Consider the following 14,207-nt stretch of genomic DNA (forward strand, 5'->3'; position numbering starts at 1 on the left):
CCATTTATGAGATTGCAAATGAAACATTTAGTACTTGTGGTCATAAATCACAAATCAGTGATTTTTTCATATTTATTGCATACATTTCCCTCCAAAGATGATTTGGATTTGCCTAGGGTCATATTTATTTTGCGTTTCAACAGGTGGCAGGATATTATTGGAAAACTGGTCAAATTGGATCCTATTTGATCTAAGGTGCTTCCTGTTTAAGTGTAAAAGGCTAGTTGTAAAAATCCCCCAAAGTGCCCTTCTCTTAATTTTGATTTCTCTTCAAACTACTTCCAGGTTTATTTTACTCAGCCAATGGCATGACAGCTAAGCAATTCCTTGCTTGCTTACCAGTCTTCCCTCACTGAACTGAGAGCTCTTTAAGGACAGTGACAGCCACTCATTAGCATTGCACTTCAAGCTGATGGTCCATGGGGGCCTTCATACATATTTTTTCAATAGAGGAATGAATGAATGAATGAATGAATGAAAATAGAGTAAACTGGCTTTGATCTTACTCTTGCCCTGTTCATATCTGAGCAGTGGCTGGTGGGTCCTGATGGTAGGTGGCCTACACAGGAGGGTTTAACCCTTAAAGTGCCCCTTTCTCTCTTTGTGTTACGTTTCTTTAAGCATCTTTTAGGAGTAATCTCTTTTTAAGTCTTTTATTATTCAGGTTTGCTGTTAACATCAGAGTCTTTGAAATGAGATGAAAAATATTGGGAAACTTTGTAGACGTAACTCCAGAAGAAGACTATCCTCTCTCTCTCTCTCTTGCTCTCTCTCTCTCTCTCTCTCTCACACACACACACACACACACACACACACACACACACACACACTGGGTTAAGCTGCGGAATCCCCATGCCTAAAGGTATACTTTGCAAATAAGAAAGGAGGCCTGAGGACTGGTCCTAGACTTTTGAGATTTCCATACATCTTGGAAGGAAGGTTGAGGAAGGAGCAGGCTTTCTGACCATAGGAAGGACTTGGCAGATATGAAAGGCCAGGATGTTGTTCTCTGGGTGACTGCCACTTCAGCAAGCAGGACAAATGACTCAACCCTTTGTGTGGAAGGGTTGGCTTAGAATGTCACTTGTGGTTTTCTCCCAGGCCGATGCATGATTTGCCTCTGTGTTTAAAGAGCTTGAAGCCACATGCCAAATTTATGGGCAAAAATGTAATAACATGGCTTATAGGCAGTGGTATGATGTAGATATGATTTAATTTTTAAAATATGCTAAAAAGTATTGACTCTATCTAGTGAAAAGAAAATTGGGCAACAATCAGCAAATACCATCAATATGGACACATTTCTCGGCAGTTTTGGGAAACACATGCTATTTCTTCACCCCTCGCCACCACCCTTCCCTACCTCCCAAGATGGGTCATTGCCTAAGTTGCACTTAACTATTTCTCTACAGACTCACCCAGTAAGTCAATACTTTCATTAATGTTACTGATTTAGATACTAAAACTTGTGCCAAACTTTCCACTATATCAGGAAAACCAACAGGGAGTCTAACTCCAAAAGGAGATTCACTGAAAAATGCTTAGGACCCTCATTGATTATAGAAATGTCAGACACCACAGTGAACTTTCCAATAAGCAATTATCCCCCTATTTCCTGAGATTATGAATTTGGGTCCAGTTATGTAGCACTTTTTGTAGAAACCCTGATCTTGCCTATAGAAGGCTGTCTAAAAAAAAATCACAAAGATGTTTTGCTTAATTTCCAAGTACTATAGGCTCTACTACTGTAGGGTCTACCCTTTTGACATTTCTTGAAACCACAGCCTCCCCTCCACCCTTCCTGCATCACTGCAGTAGCTCCTAAATGTTCTCACTGCTCACAATCCTGCTTCCTTCCAATTAGTCATTCTCTCTGCTACCAGAGGGATTTTTATAAAATACAAATATGTTTATGTTATTCTGCTTAAAATCTTTAGTGATTCTCCATAGTTTTTGAGATAAGCTCAATTCCTTGCCTTAACTGAGAGGTCTTTGGTGATCTGGCCCTGCCCTCCCCTTGGCCACGTCCCTGAATGTATCTGCACCAGGCACAAGGACTTACCGACAGGGCCCTGGATGCATCATGTCTATCTATTTGTCTGTGCCTTTGGTTATCCTATTCTTTACTCCTAGAATATTTGTCTTTTGTTTTCTTAATTAGCTTCTACCTTCATTTAAAACTCATTATAAGCATCCATTCCTCTGAAAAGTCTCCCCTGCCCCTCAATGTGCTTTAGATGGCCTGTTCATCTGTACTTGGCATCACTCTGGGCACACCGCCAGCATTACCATCACCTAGGGTAGTATTTGGTGATGTGCTGGGCTGCCCCTTCCTAATTCAAACCTCTCTCCCCCATTATAAGTTCCTGGAGGGCAGGAACCACATCTTGTTTGTCATTGTATCTTGGTACCTAGTTCAAAGATGAGAACGGTGGGGTGTTAAACAAATGGATGAACTTAGAGATTCTTTTAATTAGCTCTTGCATGTCAGGGTAGAGGATATTGGTATGTGAAAGTTAACTACTACTAAATACTAGTTCACATATTCCTAATACACCTGAGCCAAATGAAAAAGTCAAATGTACATTTCTACGGGATCTTATAGCATTATTTCATTTGTTCTTCACAACAGCCCTAGAGTGCAAGTTTCATAACATTTATCACCTTTTGTGGATAGGGGAACTGAAGCTCAGAAAGGCGAAGTGACTTGCCTAAGGTCAGATAGGTAGCAAGTGGCAGTGCTGGGACGCAAACCCACAACCTGTAATACTAAGTCCTATACGTTTTCCATTAATTCATTCCATAGTTTTATAAGGTATAAGGAGATTTATCTCCCCCAACATGAGTGATAGGCAGAATAATAGCATCCTAAATTTGTCTGGGTCATAATCCCCAGAACCTACTAACATGTTACTTTACATGAAAAGGGGGACTTAGCAGATATGACTAAGGTTAAGGACCTTGAGATGGGGTGGGCCAAACCTAATCATGAGTTCTTAAAGGCAAAGATTATAGGCTGACGTCTGTGATCCCAGCACTTTGGGAGGCTGAGGTGGGCAAATCATGAGGTCAGGAGATCGAGACCATCCTGGCTAACACGGTGAAACCCCGTCTCTACTGAAAATACAAAAAATTAGCTGGGCGTGGTGGTGGGCACCTGTAGTCCCAGCTACTCAGGAGGCTGAGACAGGAGAATGGTGTGAACCTGGGAGGTGGAGCTTGCAGTGAGCCAAGATGGGGCCACTGCACTCCAGCCTGGGTGACAGAGCAAGACTCTGTCTCAGAAAAAAAAAAAAAAAAAAAAAAAAAAGCAAAGAACCTTTCCAAGCCGAGGTCAAAGCCAGAGAGAGATGGGATGACAGAAGGTGGGTCAGAGAGATGTAATGTGCAAAGGACTCAACCCACTGTTGATGGCTTTGAAGTTGGAAGAAAGGGCCACAAGCCAAGGAATGTGGCTGGCCTCTAGAGCTGGAAAAGACAAAGAAAGAGAGTCTCTCCTAGAGCCCCCAGAAAGGCACATAGCCTTGCCTATGCCTTGGTTTTCAGCTCATTGAGATCCATGTCAGACTTCTGACCTACAGAACTGTGAGATAAATGTGTTCTTTTAAGCCACTTAGTTTGTGGCAATTTGTTACAGCAGCAATAGGAAAGTGATACACTGGGGTCTACAGCAAGAGTTGTGCTGAGTCCTGGTGAGGGAGGGCAGCTCTGAAGGCTGGGCTCAACACCCAGTGGGCAGAGGTACTGGCATAGCTCCCCCCATCTCAGCAGGCACATGGAAGGCGGCTACCTAGGTTCACAGCACGGGCTGCTGGAGGGAAGGCTGTGAATAGACAGGGCCAGACCTAAAATCATCTAGCCCCAGATTCCACCACTGACAAGGTTTCCAGGGTATGATTATCTTTCTTTATGCTTGATAGTAATGTCAAGGGTTAGTCGTGTGTATTCCCCAACAGTTTCATTTCCAGCATGATGAGGTTAAGGGGGAAAACCACTGGATAAGGAAGCTTGCAACTGGGTCTCAGCTCATTCATTACTCCCTATTTTGCCTGGGTGAAAATCATAACTTCGTTGGAACTTTATTTCCTCAACTGTTAAAATCAGAGGCTAGATGACAGATATGGTCCCTCTCAGTTCTAAAATTATCTAATTTCATTCACAAATTGCTTCCTGCTAAATCATCTGGGCTGTCAGTCAAGCACTCAGCAAACACATTGTTTGGCCGTGTTTAAATCAAACATATGGGTGACATGCTAAATTCTTAACTGAAATTACTCTAAATATATAGCTACATCTCTTCTTTTGCCTATAAAATTGCTTTGCACATCAATAAGAAGAAAAGAATTTGTGGTGATTAAGAAATATAGGCTTCAGGGCTATATTCCGGGCTATCATTTACTAATGTTTGGACCTTGGGCAAGTTACTTAACCTCATTTTCTGTGAATTGTAGGAGATAACAACATTTACCACATGGGGCTGCCATTCAAGTGTTTAGAACAATGGCTACAACAGAGTAAAGGCATAATGAATGTTAGCTCTTCCTCCTTTATTGCAGTAGAATTCAAAATATGATTTCAGACTAGGAATGATAGCTCATGCCTGTAATCCCAGCACTTTGGGAGGCCGAGGCAGGTCAATCGTTTGACTCCGTGAGTTTGAGCCCAGCCTGGTCTCAAATATGGCGAAACCCCATCGCTACAAAAAATACAAAAATTAGCCAGGCATGGTGGTGCACATCTGTAGTCCCAGCTACTCGCGAGGCTGAGGTGGGAGAATCGCCTGAGCCTGGGAGGCGGAGGTTACAGTGAGCCAAGGTCGTGAGCCAAGGTCACTCCTGCCTGGGTGATAGAGTCAGAGCCTGTCTCAATAAATAAATAAATAAATAAATAAATAAAATATTTTAAAAATATGATTTCAAAAAAGGCACATTCATAGACAAAAAAGATTGTAGCTAACTAAGTACCTGCTTACCTTTCATAAAGAAGGGTCGAGTTGTTTTCCAGAGCTCTGGATTGTTGTTAAATATGATGCCTTTCTCATGCATACCGATGCACTGCAGCCCAAGTTTGCTGCCGAATCGAGAGCTGTAATGATTGTGCTTCATTATGTGGAACATACTTGAGGACCTGAAAAGACAGGAAACTTTGGTGTCAATTTTTAAGGGTCAGGAGAACTCCTGGTGGTACATTTTGACTAGGAGGTAGCTCTCTTAGCAAATGCATGTTGCTCCAAATGCAATGTGCATGATTTCTAGTATTCGGGTTGAATAAGCACTTCTGTTAGCATGAGGACATCCTTCTCCAGTTGAATCATTTCTACCTACTGACTCCCTGTTTCAACATCACCAAAGATAGAAAACACACACACACACCCATATACCATTCCTTACTTCTCTTTCTTCTCTAACCTCACCAAAATACTACCCACTACTGGAGTCAGAGCTGCAAGGCTGCTAAGAAGCTGAACCCTCCATACCACCAGAGCCAGAAGAACCTCCAGCCTCCCAGGTATCATCCAGCCTCACTCCACAAAGTGCCACCCACTACAAGAGTGAGCCACAGAATCAGAAGTTTGTGGAATTACTAAAGTCTTGTTTTCCTATTTTGGAACCAGCAGTTTTGCCTAGTACCACCCAACTCCAGTCTCTAATCAGGCCTGCCCCCTCCAGTGGAGTATCAGTCAGGGCTTGAAAAATATCTCCTTGGGCACTTCTTCTAGCCCTGAGCTTGGCCAGCGCCTGGCTGGACTGGCATGCAAAGTTCACTGTGGTAGTAAAGGAAGCTATTTTGGGGCTCTGCCTTCCATCATGACTCATCAAAGTCTCCAGGGTCACAGAGTTCTCCCACGACACAGGATGTGATGAGTCATGAGACAGGGCAATTTGCATGATGCTCAATTATGCAAATTCAAGATGCATTAGATGTCATTGGTATTATCTTGATTTTAGATGTTGTTGTTACTTTCTTGGTGAACTTAATATTTATACAAAATTTCATGTATTAATTGCAACTTTGGTCCTCCCTCTCCTCTGGTCTCCTGAAATTTTGTTTCACAGCTGCAAATTCTCCCACTATGGAGGTTTTCAGAACAAATAACCCTCAAAGATTGCAAGTGGTTACTATAATATCTGCAATTGGTTCTCAGGTTGGAGAGACTTGCTCCTCCATCTCCTAGTTGACACTTGGCTCCTAAAAGGATACTTTTGCCTTAATGAGGTTGTTCAGTTAATGCCTGTTGAAATACATTCCCAGAGGACTCTAGACCAAAAAAGCGCTGCTCTGGTTCAATGTATTAGGTTGTGGGCTAAGTATTAATCCAGCTCTCACATCTGCGATGTGTTCCATAGTCCTATTTAAGCTTTAAAAGTAAGCCCCTGAAATAATGGTAGTGTCAAGAAATTAGAACAGGATTATTATTGTATAATAATATATAATATATAAGGTGTGGTAGTGTGTGCCTGTAGTCCCAACTACTTGGTGGGCTGAGGCAGTAGGATAGCTCGAGCCCTGGAGGTTGAGGCTGCAGTGAGCCATGATCAAGCCATTGCACTCCAACCTAGGTGACAGAGCAAGATCCTATCTCAAAAAAAAAAAAAAAAGCAGAGTTATTGTATAAATAACTTATTAATATTTATTTCAGGAAAAACCACCTATTTTCAAATAAAAACACTATTAAATATTCTCTTGATCTGATTCCAGATAATATTCATCAAATAATCCTAAGTTTTGGACATGTTTGCCTCTCCCTAGCAAAAATAAATAAATAAATAAATAAAAATCCAGATGCTTCCATTTGTATTCTGGGGAATTTGTCTGACGTTTCAAATTTTGTCATATATAGAAAAATTATGCTATAGGAAGGAATGAAATTCTTACTAATTAAAATATTTGAAAACTCTAGCTTTACTTACCTTCCCCTCCATCATTCTATAATTAAAGCAGAAATTAAGTAATTTATATATTCTTTATTCACAAACTAATATTTAAAAATTTTAAGCACTTAAAGGACAAACACTATTTTTCTGCTCTGACCCTGGGGCTTTTGCATACTGCATTAATCATATTGGCCTGTCCATTTCATTTAAGAACTTGCTAATCAGTTTTAAAAAGAGAGTAAGAAACTCCAAACATAAAACAAACCCAACGAAATATTTGCTAGTTATTAGTAATAAAGAGCCAACCTTTAAAATTCTTGTGTCCTTTAGGGGGCACCAACTTCTCAGCTATTTTGAATCCAAAGCTCAGGCTTGTTAGGGACAAAGCTAATCAGGCCGATGTGATAAAGCAAGGGATGTGTGACTGGCCACAGATGAGCAATTTAAAACAAGGTCACTTACTAAAAGTAGGCTGGATTTATCTAACCAGAGTAAATCAGAAAAGTGAAGAGAAGGTCAGTGATGAACTAAGGACCCCAGCCCAGAGCTCCTCCTGGCAGTCAAGACAGGCCTGGCTCTGGCTTGTGGGCCAGCCTGCAATACTGCCAGAGGCAAGTGTTATACTGATTATTTGGGAGAGTGAGGATTTCTTAGCACTGAGGAGAGTCCAGCTGAGTCCCCAGCCTCAGCAGGGACAGTGCACAGCGTTGGGTGTCTGATCACTAGGGTTATTATCCCTCATTAAGCATGATTGAAGATAAAAGACATCTCCAAAGATGGCAAACCTATTGTCTGTTCAAAATGAAAAGTAGTCAGGGAGTAAGCTCTTAGGTGATGAGAAGAAAGCCACCTGAGTTCTGGGATTAAACAATTCACACACTTGTGGGCAGATTCAACAGTGATGAGGAGGCAATTAATGGACTAATTGGTGCCTTCTTTTTTTTTTTTTTTTTTTGAGACAGAGTCTCACTCTATCGCCCAGGCTGGAGTGCAGTGGCGCAATCTCAGCTAATTGCAAACTCCACCTCCCAGGTTCAAGCAATTCTCGTGCCACAGCCCCCTGAGTAGCTGGGATTACAGGCACCCGCCACCACACCCGGCTAATTTTTTGTGCATTTTTAGTAGAGACAGGGTTTCACCATGTTGGCCAGGCTGGTCTCAAACTCTTGACTTCAAGTAATACACCCACTTTCACCTCCCAAAGTGCTGGCATTACAGGTGTGAGCCACTGCACCCGGCTGGTAACAAACATTTAAAAACACTTGCCTCATGTAGATCTGTTCCATCAATCCTATCACCTTTTCACTGTCCTTCACTTCTCTAATATCCTCACTTACCCAGCTTAAATTCTAGGTGACTACAAGAGATAAACAATCTTTATAACAGAGGAATCTCACTGTAACCACCTAACCAGTGATCAAATTTAACATCAGTGCTAGTGGGACAACCTGTTACTCATCTTCTGATGTGATGTGATATGAAGTTCCTAGTACTACTGAAGTGTTATTGCAAAAATGTGCAACCTTAATCTAATTGAGCCTTTAGACCCAATTTTCAGTTTATAAGAAATACAGAGAATAGATGAATATAGTAAATGACACCCTGATGAAACAGTGAGAGAAATTCAGAATGTGGGATATGTTATAGCTGACCTGGTCTCTTCAAAATGTCAATGTCACAGGGGGAAAAGTGTGGCAGGGGGACGGCTCTTTCAATTTTCCTACTCATTTGACAATTTTCTTAACAGAAAGTTGGGAAAAAATTACTGTCAATCATTAAAATTAAAATACCCTTCCCTGAATCCTCAACTCCCTTGACCCTCTTCTTACTTTGTCATGGTTGTCTGATAAGACCACACTCTAGCTAAATCCAACTCTTAGCTTATTCTGTGCTTGCACCTGGCAGTTGAAGTGGGCTGGGAAAAAAAGAAAAACCACACATGCGCACACATGTGTGCGCATGTGTGTACGTTAGCGCACACGTGCCTGCTGTCAGGTCTCGGTTAAATTCAAGTGGGCCCTTAGTGTCGCTGGCAATGCTACTGCATGTCCCCAGCCCATTCACTCTCTCACTCTTCTAGATGACTATTATATTCTCCCTACTCAGCCCCAGCTGAAGACTTTATTTCCAATTTTCCCAAGAAAGTGGAAGCAACTACAAGAGAATCTCCACAATCCCCAACGACCCGGACCTGTGCCCATATATTCCACCTTCCCTCCTATTACTATGGAAATTCCATGTCCCTATTCAAGGCCAACCCATCCACTTGTCCCCAGGGACCTCTTCACATCTCACCTAGCACACTCTTTCTCTTCCATCAACAATCATTTGATTTTCCTCCATAACTGACCAGTCCCCCTACAACTCACATGCTGTAATTTCTCCTATTTTAAAAATCAAAATTCCTTTGCCCACACATCTCACTCATCTACTGGCCCATTTCCTGCCTTCTTTATGGCAAACTCCTTGGAAGACTTGTCTACACTTGCTGCCTCTGATTCTTCTCCCCCGATTCTCTTCTCTGGTCAGACTTTTGCCCCCACTAGTCCATTGAAACTGCTCTTGTCAAGGTCACCTGTGACCTCCCTGTTGCTAAATGCAGTACTGAAATCTCCATGCATTCCCTTGCCCCATCAGTGGTATTTGACATGGTTCACAATTTTCTACTCCCTGATATGGATTTTTCACCTGGTTTTCAGACATTACACTTTCCTGGTTTTCTCTTCTCGGTCTAGCTGCTCTTCTCAGTCTCTGTTGCTAGTTTCTGACCTATTTACACTAGAGGGTCTCAAGGTTCAGTTCTCTCTACTCAATCATCCCACTCAGATGTCAACTGGGCATGTCAAATCTAACATGTCTGGAATGGAACCCTAATCTCTCCCCTTCCCAAACTTGCTCCACCTATCTCAGGACACGATGTCCCCATTCAATGCAAAACTGGACAGCACTTTGACTCTTTTTTTTTCTCTCACACCCTACATCCAATCTGTCAGCAAGTCTGTTGGCTTTGCCTTCAAAATATGTCCAGAATTTTCCCTCATCTCTTATCATCTCTACTGCTACCACCTGGACCAGCCACCATCACCTCTTGCCTAACTGGTCTGTCTGTCCCCATCCCTTGTCCTCTTGCACCTATTCTCAACAGAGCAGCCAGAATGATTCTGCTGAAACATAAATGAGTCATATGTGTCAGTCCTCTCTCAAATTCTTCAGTGGCTTCCTTTCTTGCAGGGGGTAAAAGCCGGAATTGTTACAATGGCCTGCAAGGCCTGACGTGATTTGGTACCCTATTGCTTCTCTCATCTCCTGTATTCTTCCACTCAGGTTCTTGCCTTAGAATATTGGCACTTGCTGTTCCTTCTGTCTAGAATGCTTTCCCGCCAGGTCTCTGCATGGGCTACTTGCTCATTTCCTTTAGGTCTTTATTTAAATGCTGTCTTCTCAGTGAGGGCTGCCTGAACCACCTGTTTACAATCACACCTGCGTCTCTACAACTGGTCCTCCCCCATCCTCCTTCCCTATTCTTTTTCTATGTAACACCTATCTGCCTGATAAGTGTGACCAACTATCCTGGTTTGCCCGGGACTATGCCAGTTTCAGCACTGAAAGTCCCACATCCTGGGAAAGGCCCTGGTCCCAGGCAAACTGAAACAATTGGTCACTCTACTGATACACTATATATTTTACTTGTTTATTGTTGACCTAGTGACGACATATTGCTCCATGAGGTAAAGGAATTTTGGCTGGTTTGTCCACTGCTGTATTCCCAGAGTTTAGAACAATACCTGCTGCTATACATAGTAAGTTTTCAAGAAATATTTAATGGATGAAGAGCCAATAATGACTATTACAACTTAGAATCATTCAGTGCTTAGTATATAATAAATTCTCAGTAAATGTATATTCACAGAATAAATGAAGGAAGCCCCTGTAAATGATGTGTAAATTTGCACATTATTAAGACAGATGTAAAAATATAACCCTAATTAGTATGTTAATTGCTAACAGATATGCAAATATAACCCAAATTAGCATGCTAATTGCTAATTTCCCTTTATGAGTGATACATAAATTTTTTTTGTATTCATGACAAAAACTAATCTAGGGACATATAATGGACATATAGTGTCATACGCAGCACCTACAGACCTTCATTAATTTAGAGTACAGCTGCCTGGGTAGCTGCCTGGGGAACGGTGCACACATCATCTACAGCTCACCAGATGGACCGTGCCTCCACGCCCCCAGTGGCACACGCGGCATCTCAGCAGCGCACATGCCTGACTTCTCCCCTGAAGTTCTGCAGCCCCTACTACTTTGGGACGAAGCTGGTTGGAAAAGTTGGACCATAATTTCTACACAGTTGTAATGACTACAGACCTCAAACTTTTCAAAAGAAAAAAAAAATCTGGCAAACTATTCAAATAAAAATAAAAATCTTTCTGAGGTCCAATGGGGTCTTTTCAAGAGGTACGGGGAGTGCTGGAAGGGACTTGAAGAGCAGGCAAGGAAAGGAGATGGGGACAAACATGTCCTATTCCCGCGGGGAGCTCAGCCTTTAACAACAAAATTGAACTGCTCTGAGGCAATTAAAGAGAACACAAAGACTCCAACAAGTGAAAAGCCTGAGAGGACAGGAAAAGGAAAGAACTGGGAGAGCTGATGGTAGTGTGGGTGGGTTGTGGCTGCGTCTCAGCGTGCACCAGCGCCTGAGTCGGTCGGGGTTGTTGGAGTCAGTTTCCTAATTAAGACTAGCGGAGTGGTCAGATGCCACCCCCACTGTAACGAGCAAGCACTTCAGGAATTGTCTTTGGAAATTCACGGACTTTTTCTGGAGATTTAAGAATCTAGCATCGAAATATCTAGTATCTCAGAATGATTTCTGTCCTGGTACTGTGGTCCTTTCTCAAGTCTATCATTCTTTACTCCAGTTCTAGTCTTAAACCTCCACCACCTTAGCATAAGACAAAACCAGTCCTGCATCGCTGCTTCCTGTAACCCCGGGGAGAGGCCCTCCTGCCCCATGAGCTTCCTCCTCCACCCTCTCTCTAGATGGAATGTTCTCAAACTCCCAGGGGAGTATTAAACACCACTGATGCCTGAGTCCTACCCCCAGAGGTTCTGATCTAAAAGTGGGGGTGTGGCCTGGGCAGTGGGGCTTTGAAAAGCTCCCTGGGTGACTCTAAGGTACAGCTAGGGTGAGAGGCACGGCACTGTGCTAGATCCTGGGCAGCAGGTAGATATCCTTCTAGATAAATATCCTGGGGGTCACTTCACCTGTCTGCTGAGGGAAAGAGGTGATGGGGAAGGCAGACCCTGGGCTGGGGAGAGCTGAAAGGCAGGTGGCTGTGCGGGGAAATGAAAGAGCAGCGGCAAATGTCCCTACCCCCAAACCCAAACACCAGTGCTTCCAGGATATTTGTGAGACCATAGCCAGTTGTAAAAGTGACTCAAGTACTGATTTTTAAAATGAGAACGTATCAAGAACGTATCATAGTCACTTAAATTTGGCTGACTAGAGCCTAATAGACCAGGAGAATTAAAATAAAAAAGTAATTATGATCTAGTTCTTAGAGCAGTGGTTCTCAAACTCAAGTGTGCAGCAGAATCACCTGCAGGCTTTGTTAAAACACGGATCGCGGGTCCTACCCCAGACTGTCTCATTTAGTAGGTCAGGGTGGGGCCCAAGAACGTGCATTGCTAACAAGTTCCCAGGCTTGTTGATGCTGCTTGTTGAAGGACCACACTTTGAAAACTACTGCATTAGAGTACTTCACAATGAACCCAATGAAATGATGTTTCCACCTGAAGCCATTTCTGTTTAGTTGTGTGAGGTCTGCCTCAGCTACTCTTAAAAGTGCTACAACACAAAACTGAATGAAACAAACAAACAAAAATCCCAGGTCAAAAAAATTCTTTTTGGATAGTTTGAAATATTTAGAAGTATTAAAATAATACCAATTTCTCCCCTGCTCCCTTCTTTCAATATCTGCTTCAAATATTTGGGCTTTGAGGATACCGTGGTATTTTATGAGATGATGTATGTAATCTTGACCTGAAAAAATTATGTAGTTTAGAAAAGCTTCACTTACTTTTGAGCTATAGTCTTTGTATCTGAATGAATAATTCTAACAAATTGGTAAAACACCCTGGTCAGCTTTAGTTTGTGGGTAAAGCGCTATCAGGGATTACGAATATAAACATGCGTTAATGAGACAATGTTTGCAGATAGCTTTGCTAAAAGTCTACTAAAGCTGGCTGAAAGTCTAGGGAAATACGCCATCTTTGAAATTCTCCATTTTCTAAGATCAATAAACAAGAAAACAAGTATTTCACCAAACTAGTTCCTTATAGTCAATTCCTATTTAGTTAACCATAGAGCTAATTCAATCTGCTAGTTATCCACAAAATATAATAATGCAGAGAGGGAGGACACTATTTTTTTAAATGGGTAATATTGTTCCTGATTTATGTAAGATCACTCCACCGGGATACTCGCATAAAGTCATAAATGGGAAAGCAGCATGTGAATTACTTCTTTTTCTACTGTCTTGTTCTTTTATTTTCCTTTTTCTTTACTTTAATCGGATTCAGCCAAGGTCGGCTTACCATCTGCTCTTTTAGAGGTGCTCAGTTGCTTGGCAGGAGAATAAATTAGCAAATTGCTAATCAGATACCTCTGCCTCAGGTTTGTTTTATTTTTTAAAAGACAGGGTCTTACTCTGTCACCCAGACTATAGTGCAGTGATGTCTCGGGTTTTATTTTTGTTTTCTGTGGGTTTTTTCTTTGTTTGTTTGGCTTGGTTCTTTTTAATGTTTATTTGTGGTTAAGACCAAAAAACTTGGGAAAGCAGAAAAGATAACACCTCTCCCTAAAGTATGTTTTGTCAAAATCAAATTATCTGGCTTCTAAGTTTCCACATTCACTGCTCACAGAGATTGTAAATAATTTCCCAACTTTCCAGAGTTAGTTATTTATGTACTGCTGGCTTCAATTCAAGCAAAACCCAATTATTCTGTTTGCAATGTTAGATTTCTGGGGATTGCTCACTTCATTTCAGTGGTAAAAATATAGCGTTAGAAACAAAGACATCAAGATTCAAAATAAAGTTGTCTTAAGTGGAAAAAACTCCAGCCTCGATTTAAAAAGTATGTCTTCGATTATGAACAGACTCACTTGCTGATAATGAGTGTTTCCTCTCCAGAGATCCAGACTCGCATGAATTCTCCATATACCCGGTTGTAGTAGTTGCAGGCACTGCCGATCCCCATCCACAGGAATCTGCCGTGGGAGATGAGGGGTCCAATTCCCATGCAGTAGCCAGGACCTAG

At 42.0% G+C, this 14,207-nt stretch overlaps 1 protein-coding gene and 1 long non-coding RNA gene across 12 annotated transcripts in view, besides 3 other annotated features; one reads left to right on the forward strand and one right to left on the reverse strand.

The window, feature by feature from the left end:
• MIR4713HG (MIR4713 host gene) overlaps window positions 1-14,207 on the forward strand; it is a 256,425-nt gene that overhangs the window by 185,319 nt on the left and 56,899 nt on the right. The window lies entirely within an intron of this gene.
• Window positions 1-14,207, reverse strand: part of CYP19A1 (cytochrome P450 family 19 subfamily A member 1) — a 130,540-nt gene that overhangs the window by 14,750 nt on the left and 101,583 nt on the right. For all 11 annotated transcript variants that reach the window (NM_000103.4, NM_031226.3, NM_001347248.1 and 8 more), the window contains 2 exons: window positions 14,053-14,203; window positions 4,973-5,127 (listed from right to left, as the gene is read on the reverse strand). In NM_000103.4, the coding sequence (NP_000094.2) occupies window positions 4,973-5,127; window positions 14,053-14,203 (306 nt within the window). The remainder of the gene's footprint in view (window positions 1-4,972; window positions 5,128-14,052; window positions 14,204-14,207) is intronic.
• Window positions 5,646-5,940: an enhancer, noted in NCBI's record as "tiled region #2939; HepG2 Activating DNase matched - State 8:EnhW, and K562 Activating DNase unmatched - State 5:Enh". NCBI's record gives its function as "activates a minimal TATA promoter and a strong SV40 promoter by Sharpr-MPRA in HepG2 and K562 cells {active_cell/tissue: HepG2 | K562}" and the evidence as "EXISTENCE:reporter gene assay evidence [ECO:0000049][PMID:27701403]".
• Window positions 5,646-5,960: a biological region, named in NCBI's record as "Sharpr-MPRA regulatory regions 2939 and 12041".
• Window positions 5,666-5,960: an enhancer, noted in NCBI's record as "tiled region #12041; HepG2 Activating DNase unmatched - State 9:DNaseU, and K562 Activating DNase matched - State 5:Enh". NCBI's record gives its function as "activates a minimal TATA promoter and a strong SV40 promoter by Sharpr-MPRA in HepG2 and K562 cells {active_cell/tissue: HepG2 | K562}" and the evidence as "EXISTENCE:reporter gene assay evidence [ECO:0000049][PMID:27701403]".

Source organism: Homo sapiens, chromosome 15, assembly GCF_000001405.40.
Source record: "Homo sapiens chromosome 15, GRCh38.p14 Primary Assembly".
Taxonomy (NCBI): Eukaryota; Metazoa; Chordata; class Mammalia; order Primates; family Hominidae; genus Homo; species Homo sapiens.